Source organism: Homo sapiens, chromosome 11 (assembly GCF_000001405.40).
Source record: "Homo sapiens chromosome 11, GRCh38.p14 Primary Assembly".
NCBI classification, from domain to species: Eukaryota; Metazoa; Chordata; class Mammalia; order Primates; family Hominidae; genus Homo; species Homo sapiens.
The window spans coordinates 728,124-736,523 of NC_000011.10; the positions used below are offsets into that span (position 1 = coordinate 728,124).

Consider the following 8,400-nt stretch of genomic DNA (forward strand, 5'->3'; position numbering starts at 1 on the left):
TGACCGCCAGATGGGCGGTCCACCTGAGCCGCACCCTTGGAGGGGCCTTTGGTGCCCTCTGCCGGCCGCTCCATGTGCTGCCGTGAGTGGCCGCCAGGGGTGCCCTCGCCCTGGATTGGTGGCAGGGGGCAACCCACAACCATGTGTCCCCATAGCAGCCGTGAACCCAACCCTGGTGCGGAGCATCCGGGGACACAGTCCTGGGGTCTTGGCCTGGGCAGGGGCGACTGTGGGGCTGGGCTGGGGGGGGCGTGTCCCTTGCCTGGTCCACCACCCAGCCAGGCCTGGACACCAGGCCACAGAAGCCCTGACTCACAGCTCAGGCCACACTAGGCCAAGTCTTAACCACAGTGTCTGGTCGGGGCAGCAGGGATTGTCTGGTGCCCTCTGAGCCACGACCCGGGCTTGATGGCCACCACCACTCCTCCAGGCCCCCGGAAGAGGCCCCCCCACCCTGTCAGATGGACCCTGCAGTGAGAGAGACAGGTCCAAGAGGAAAAGGGGAGGGATGGGGGCACCGGCCCTCCTCCCTGCAACCTGCAGCTCCCGCTGCCTGCTGAGCCACCACCTCAGGACGGGGATAGGCACCGGGGCTATATCTGCTCCAAAAGGGGCCTCTGTGGGCCCCAGGATGCCAGTCCTTGGAAGTGAGGGAGGCTGCCCACTCCCCAACCACTCCCAGCAACAGGACCCTTCCTCCACCAGGATGGTCTGGGCTTCATATGCAGCCTCCAGGCTGGGCTGCTCAGCTTCTGAGGGCCCCAGATCTACACCTGCTTCTTCAGCCTTCTCCCTGTCCACCTCCCCCAGCCCCATTTAGAGCCCCCTACCTGCTGTGCCCCACTCTGCCACCTGCACAGCTGAGGAGCCCCAGGAAGCCAGACCCCCAGACTCCAGCCCCCAGATCCCAGCCCTAGGCCCCAAGCAGGCTCCCACCCCAGGAGCCCTGAGTCCGAGGCACCCTGGCCCCAGCTGCCTGCTCGGACCTCTGGGCTTCCAGAAATTACCTCCCGTTTCTTCCAAGGGGCTTCCTGCCACCTCCTGAGACCCCCCTCAAGAGCAGATGGGACCACCGACCTCACCGGCCTGGTGATGGGCACAGGGTCACCTGGCATCGGGTGGGCTGGCTCTCTGTGTCCTCTCTGGCCACCCGCCCCAGGGGTGAGGATTGCCCCCCTTCCTGCCCTGAGGGCATCACTCTTGGGGGCCTGTGGTGTTTTGAGTGCTGCCCGCGGCCTCCGGAGGCCCCAGTGGCAGCCCCGTGAGGCAGGCGTGGATAAGAATGACCCGTAGAGGGGCCAGGTCACCTGCTCGAGGCCCGAGTTTGGGGCAGGGGCTGGGGTTAACATGCAATCTCTCTTAGTTCCAACGTGTCCTTAACCACTCACTCCCTCCCCGGCCTCCCTACCCACTTCCCCATCAGGCAGGTCCACAGAAAGAAGGAGGGTCTGCTGGTGCTGGCCCTGGTGGGGCCAGGGTTGCCGAGGGTCTGGCCGTGAGTGTGGGAGAGTCCACACTGGGCGAGGAGGGAGGGCGGGGCTTTGAACATCAGACCTCAGGGTGGGTGGCCTGAGCTGCCAGTGGGGCCACCAGTAGCCACAAGCAAATATCTCCACCAACAAGGCCCGTCTGTCTCGGGACAAGCATGTCTTTGTGGCGCTTGCTCCCCTTCTGTCCTCCCCCACAGCTGGCCCTGTCCGCCCGTGCCCAGTCAGGCCCCGCAGAACCCAAGAGGGGCTTCCCATGCCATTTAGGAAGGGCTGTCTCTTTAAAAAAAAAAAAAATTACAAAACGGTTGATTTCCCAAGAGGTTGACACAGCAGCACGTACAGTAAGATGTTCCTCACACCTGCGGGGATGCCATGGTCCCAGCCCGGGGCACCCGTTACCCAGGAAGGTGGTGAGAGTGGTGCTGGGAAAATGTGTGGAGAAACACAACAGGGACCCCCACTAACCCCACAAAGCTGAACCAGCCCCAGCAGTACTAGACGTCATGAGAGGCAAAACGACCAAGTTCACAGAAGATGCCAGGATATCCATGTGACAAAGGGGAAGAAGAATTTTCTGTACAAAACTTCAAAAGCAGTGGATACCAGGCGCGGCAGCTCACGCCTGTAATCCCAGCACTTTGGAAGGCCGAGGCAGGTGGATCACCTGAGGTCAGGAGTTCGAGACTAGCCTGGCCAACATGGTGAAACCCCATCTCTACTAAAAATACAAAAATTAGCCGGGCATGGTGGCGCGTGCCTGTAATCCCAGCTACTTGGGAGGTTGAGGGAGGAGACTCACTTGAACCCAGGGGGCAGAGGTTGCAGTGAACCAAAATCATGCCACTTCACTCCAGCAAAAGAGCAAAACTCTGTTTCAAAAATAAAATAATGAAAATTTTAAAAAGGGAGTCAATGAGTTTGATTTTGGCAAAATTAAAGACTTGCAGCCGGGCGCAGTAGCTCACACCTGTAATCCCAGCACTTTGGGAGGCCAAGGCAAAAGGATAGCTTGAGCCCAGGGGTTCGAGACCAGCCTGGGCAAATGGCTAGACCCTGTCTCTACAAAAAAAAATTATTAGGCCGGGCACGGTGGCTCATGCCTGTTATCCCAGCACTTTGGGAGGCCAAGGTGGGCAGATCACGAGGTCAGGAGATTGAGACTATCCTGGCTAACACGGCGAAACCTCGTCTCTACTAAAAGTACAAAAAATTAGCTGGGCATGGTGGCGGGCACCTGTAGTCCCAGCTACTGAGGAGGCTGAGGCACGAGAATTGCTTGAACCTGGGAGGCAGAGGTTGCAGTCAGCAGAGATCACGCCACTGCGTGAGCAGAGATCATGCCACTGCACTCCAGCCTGGGCAACAGAGAGAGACTCTGTCTCAAAAAAAAGAAAAGAAAAGAAAAAAAGTTATTAAATTAGCCAGGCGTGCTGGTGAGTGCCTGTGGTCTCACTGCCTGTGCTACTCGGGAGGCTGAGTGGGGAGGATCCCTCGAGCCTGGGAGGCAGAGGTTGCAGTGAGCTGAGATGGCACCACTGCATTCCAGCCTGGGCGACACAGTGAGATCCTGTCTCAAAAAAAAATTTTTTTTTTTTTTAGATAGAGTTTTGCTCTGTCACCCAGGCTGGAGTGCAGTGGCGCAGTCTCGGCTCACTGCAACCCCCGCCTCCCAGGTTCAATTGATTCTCCTACCTCAGCCTCCCAAGTAGCTGAGACTACAGGTGGGTGCTACCACGTCCGGATAATTTTTTGTATTTTTAGTAGAGACGGGGTTTCACCATGTAGTGGTCTCAATCTCCTGACCTCGTGATCAACCTGCCTTGGCCTCCCAAAGTGCTGGGATTACAGGCGTGAGCCACTGCACCCAGCCAAAAAAAAATTTTTTTAATGAAAACATTTTTTTAAAAGACTCGCATTCACTGACGGCCACTTGGAGGGGATGCTGACTGGCAAGCAGAGCAGACACCAAGGACAGTCTCTGGGAGACCTAAGACCCTTTCAGGGCATTGTGAGCTCCAGACGGTGTTTGTTTGTTTGCTTGTTTTTTGAGACAGAGTTTTGCTCTTGTTGCCCAGGCTGGAGTGCAGTGGCGTGATCTCAGCTCACCGCAACCTCCGGCTCCTGGGTCAAGTGATTCTCCTGCCTCAGCCTCCCGAGTAGCTGGGATTACAGGCGCTTGCCACCACGCCTGGCTAGTTTTGTATTTTTAGTAGAGACGGGGTTTCTCCATGTTGGTCAGGCTGATCTTGAACTCCTGACCTCAGGTGATCCGCCCACCTTGGCCTCCCAAAGTGCTGGGATTAAAGGCGTGAGCCACCGTGCCCGGCCCTCTACACTGTTTTTATAGCAAGACTTGAGAAGCAGGCCAGGCACGTGGCTCACACCTGTAATCCCAGTGCTTTGGGAGGCCAAAGCAGGTAGATTGTTTGAGCCCAGGAATTTGAGATTAGCCTGGGCAACATACCGAGACCCTGTCTCTACTAAAAATTTAAAAATTGGTGAGGCGCAGTGGCTCACACCTGTAATCCCAGCACTTTGGGAGGCCGAGGCGGGCGGACCACAAGGTCAGGAGATCGAGACCATCCTGGCTAATACAGTGAAACCCCATCTCTACAAAAAATACAAAAAATTAGCCTGGCCTGGTGGCGGGCGCCTGTAGTCCCAGCTACTCGGGAGGCTGAGGCAGGAGAATGGCGTGAACCCGGGAGGCAGAGCTTGCAGTGAGCCGAGATCACGCCACTGCACTCCAGCCTGGGCAACAGAGTAAGACTCCGTCTCAAAAAGAAATGTAAAAATTAGCCAGGTGTGGTGATGTGCATCTGTAGTCCCAGCTACTTAGGAGGCTGATTCGAGAGAATTGTTTCAGCTCAGGAGTTCAAGGCTGCAATGAGCTGTGATGGTGCCACTGCAACTCCAGCCTGGGTGACAGAGCAAGACGCTGTCTCAAAAAAAAAGGTGCTCTGGGTTGAATTATGTCCTTCAGAAATTCATATTTCAGTCCTTGTCCCAGCAACTCAGACTGTTGCCCTATTTGGGTCACTGCAGATGTAATTAAGATGAGGCCATGCTGGAGTACGGTAGCCCTAATATATCAAAAGGGGAGGCCGGGTGAGGTGGCTCACACCTGTAATCCCAGCACTTTGGGAGGCCAAGGCGGGCAGATCACTTGAGGTCAAGAGTTCGAGACCATCCTGGCCAACATGGTGAAACCCCATCTCTACTAAAAATACAAAAATTAGCCGGGCGTGGTGGCGGGCACCTGTAATCCCAGCTACTCAGGAGGCTTGAGACAGGAGAATCGCTTGAACCTGGGAGGTGGAGGTTGCAGTGAGCCAAGATCCCACCACTGCACTCCAGCCTGGGCAAAAAAAAATTAAAACAACAGATAAAAAGGGGAAACGTGGACACAGACACGATCGGGGTGATCACCGGAGGAGGGGGAGGTTTCTACATGCTAAGGAGCAACACGGAGCGGCAGCTCCCACAGAAGCCTGGAGAGGCCCAGAGCAGAGATTTCCACACAGCCTCGAAGGAACCAGCCCTGGCCACGCCTGCATCTCAGACTCCAGCCTCTAGAACCAAGAGAGGAGACGCGTCTGTTGTTCACACCACCCAGTGTGCGGCGTTTGCCATGGCAGCCCCGTGAAACACAGAAGCCTGCCTTCTCAACCGCACTCACCTTTGCTCGAATATGAGCAGCCCCCATTCTTCCCCGACACACACAGTCAAATCAGCAAACGTCACTGATTTGATGCAGTCTCACCTGGAAGCGTAAGCATCCGGCGTCCCGGGCGCCTGCTGCCTAGGTGTTGGGGCTGCCCGGGGAAGAGCTGGGAGCCATGTCCCAGCCGTGACTGACCTGGCCAGCTTCCCCAGGTTACTTGAAAGAACCTCTTGTGTCGAGACGTGGGTAGTCATTGTCTCCAAAATGAACAAAGTGAAAACAACGGACCCTCTTCGCTGCCGTGATAAATCTGCATTTTCCAGTGGACATTTGAGTTTTGGAAACTGCCATCATAGGCAAGGCTGCTCCACCACCTGAAGCTCTTTTTTTTTTTTTTTTTTGAGACCGAGTCTCACTCTGTCACCCAGGCTGGAGTGCAGTGGCCCGACCTTGTAGCTGGGACCTCATGATCTGCCTGCCTCGGCCTCCCAAAGTGCTGGGATTACAGGCGTGAACCACCGTGCCTGGCCCTGAAGCTCCTTCTGATAGGCTCAGTTAGGGAGCGTGCATGTTCCTTATTGAAATTGGAGGGGTCAGCACTTGGGGGTCTGGGAAACCCCACGACCAAGGCGGGACATTCCAGCATCACTCATGGGCCTAAGAGCCAGTCACAGAAGGTCCACAATGATCCAGAAAGGCTATCAGGGTGCCCTTCCCTGTTCCGACTACAAATCTGGATGAAGCCAGATTTTCCTCACATACTTCTCCTAGAACAATGATTCCCAGAGGCCTAGGCAGGCCCCGGGAGGAGGACCCCTGGGCCTAGGAAACCGGCATGATGGAGATTTTGCAAACGTGGATACCAGTGCCACTCTGCTCACTAGATTTTTTGTTTAACAAAGATGTACTGGGCCAGGTGCAGTGGCTCACACCTGCAATCCTAGCACTTTGGGAGGCTGAGGCAGATGCATTATTTGAGCTCAGGAGTTTGAAACCAGCCTGGGCAACATGGTGAAAACCCGTCTCTACTAAAATACAAAAATTATCCAGGAGTGGTGGCAGGCACCTGCAATACCAGCTACCTGGGAAGCTGAGGCAGGAGAATCTCTTGAACCCGAGGTGTGGAGGTTGCAGTGAGCCAAGACTGCGGCACTGCATTCCAGCCTTGGTGACAGAGCGAGACTCTGTCTAGAAAAAAAAAAAACAGACACACACAAAAATTAGCTGGGCACGGTAGCACGTGCCTGTAGTCTCAGCTACTTGGGAGACTGAGGCAGGAGGATCACTTGAGTGCAGGAGATGGAGGTTGCTGTGATCACACCACTGCACTACAGCCTAGGCAACCCAGCCAGACCCTGTCTCAAAAAAATGTATAACTATTTATAGAAGTGTGCAAGCGTGAAAGCGCTGGCTCCCAGGACAGCCACGAAGCCACGGGTCGTTGACACAGCCGAGTGGGCGCCATTGCCGGAGCGGGAACCCGCCTGAGGGTCTTCACGGGGTCTGAGTGGGCGCCATTGCCGGAGCCGGAACCCGCCTGAGGGTCTTCACGGGGTCTGAGTGGGCGCCATTGCCGGAGCGGGAACCCGCCTGAGGGTCTTCACGGGGTCTGAGTGGGCGCCATTGCCGGAGCCGGAACCCGCCTGAGGGTCTTCACGGGGTCTGAGTGGGCGCCATTGCCGGATCCGGAACCCCGCCTGAGGGTCGTCACGGGGTCTGAGTGGGCGCCATTGCCGGATCCGGAACCCGCCTGAGGGTCTTCGCGGGGTCTGAGTGGGCGCCATTGCCGGATCCGGAACCCCGCCTGAGGGTCTTCGCGGGGTCTGAGTGGGCGCCATTGCCGGATCCGGAACCCCGCCTGAGGGTCTTCACGGGGTCTGAGTGGGCGCCATTGCCGGAGCGGGAACCCGCCTGAGGGTCTTCACGGGGTCTGAGTGGGCGCCATTGCCGGAGCCGGAACCCGCCTGAGGGTCTTCGCGGGGTCTGAGTGGGCGCCATTGCCGGAGCGGGAATCCCACCTGAGGGTCTTCACGGGGTCTGAGAGGGCGCCATTGCCGGAGCCGGAACCCGCCTGAGGGTCGTCACGGGGTCTGAGTGGGCGCCATTGCCGGATCCGGAACCCCGCCTGAGGGTCTTCACGGGGTCTGAGTGGGCGCCATTGCCGGATCCGGAACCCCGCCTGAGGGTCTTCACGGGGTCTGAGTGGGCGCCATTGCCGGATCCGGAACCCGCCTGAGGGTCTTCGCGGGGTCTGAGTGGGCGGCATTGCCGGATCCGGAACCCCGCCTGAGGGTCTTCGCGGGGTCTGAGTGGGCGCCATTGCCGGATCCGGAACCCCGCCTGAGGGTCTTCACGGGGTCTGAGTGGGCGCCATTGCCGGAGCGGGAACCCGCCTGAGGGTCTTCACGGGGTCTGAGTGGGCGCCATTGCCGGAGCCGGAACCCGCCTGAGGGTCTTCGCGGGGTCTGAGTGGGCGCCATTGCCGGAGCGGGAATCCCACCTGAGGGTCTTCACGGGGTCTGAGAGGGCGCCATTGCCGGAGCCGGAACCCGCCTGAGGGTCGTCACGGGGTCTGAGTGGGCGCCATTGCTGGATCCGGAACCCCTCCTGAGGGTCTTCACGGGGTCTGAGTGGGCGCCATTGCCGGATCCGGAACCCGCCTGAGGGTCTTCACGGGGTCTGAGTGGGCGCCATTGCCGGATCCGGAACCCCGCCTGAGGGTCTTCGCGGGGTCTGAGTGGGCGCCATTGCCGGAGCGGGAACCCGCCTGAGGGTCTTCACGGGGTCTGAGTGGGCGCCATTGCCGGATCCGGAACCCCTCCTGAGGGTCTTCACGGGGTCTGAGTGGGCGCCATTGCCGGATCCGGAACCCGCCTGAGGGTCTTCACGGGGTCTGAGTGGGCGCCATTGCCGGATCCGGAACCCCGCCTGAGGGTCTTCGCGGGGTCTGAGTGGGCGCCATTGCCGGATCCGGAACCCGCCTGAGGGTCTTCACGGGGTCTGAGTGGGCGCCATTGCCGGATCCGGAACCCCGCCTGAGGGTCTTCACAGCATCTGAGTGGGCGCCATTGCCGGAGCCGGAACCCGCCTGAGGGTCTTCGCGGGGTCTGAGTGGGCGCCATTGCCGGAGCGGGAATCCCGCCTGAGGGTCTTCACGGGGTCTGAGTGGGCGCCATTGCCGGAGCGGGAATCCCGCCTGAGGGTCTTCACGGGGTCTGAGGGGAAAGCAGGGCCGGGGTGGGCGTG

General features: G+C 58.5%; 3 annotated features.

The window, feature by feature from the left end:
* Window positions 204–293: a silencer, noted in NCBI's record as "silent region_3022". NCBI's record gives its function as "represses an Ori minimal core promoter by ATAC-STARR-seq in GM12878 lymphoblastoid cells {active_cell/tissue: GM12878}" and the evidence as "EXISTENCE:reporter gene assay evidence [ECO:0000049][PMID:35858748]".
* Window positions 6,529–7,029: an enhancer, noted in NCBI's record as "H3K27ac hESC enhancer chr11:734652-735152 (GRCh37/hg19 assembly coordinates)". NCBI's record gives its function as "activates a minimal SCP1, AML or CMV promoter by ChIP-STARR-seq in primed H9 embryonic stem cells {active_cell/tissue: H9 hESC(primed)}" and the evidence as "EXISTENCE:reporter gene assay evidence [ECO:0000049][PMID:30033119]".
* Window positions 7,030–7,530: an enhancer, noted in NCBI's record as "H3K27ac hESC enhancer chr11:735153-735653 (GRCh37/hg19 assembly coordinates)". NCBI's record gives its function as "activates a minimal SCP1, AML or CMV promoter by ChIP-STARR-seq in primed H9 embryonic stem cells {active_cell/tissue: H9 hESC(primed)}" and the evidence as "EXISTENCE:reporter gene assay evidence [ECO:0000049][PMID:30033119]".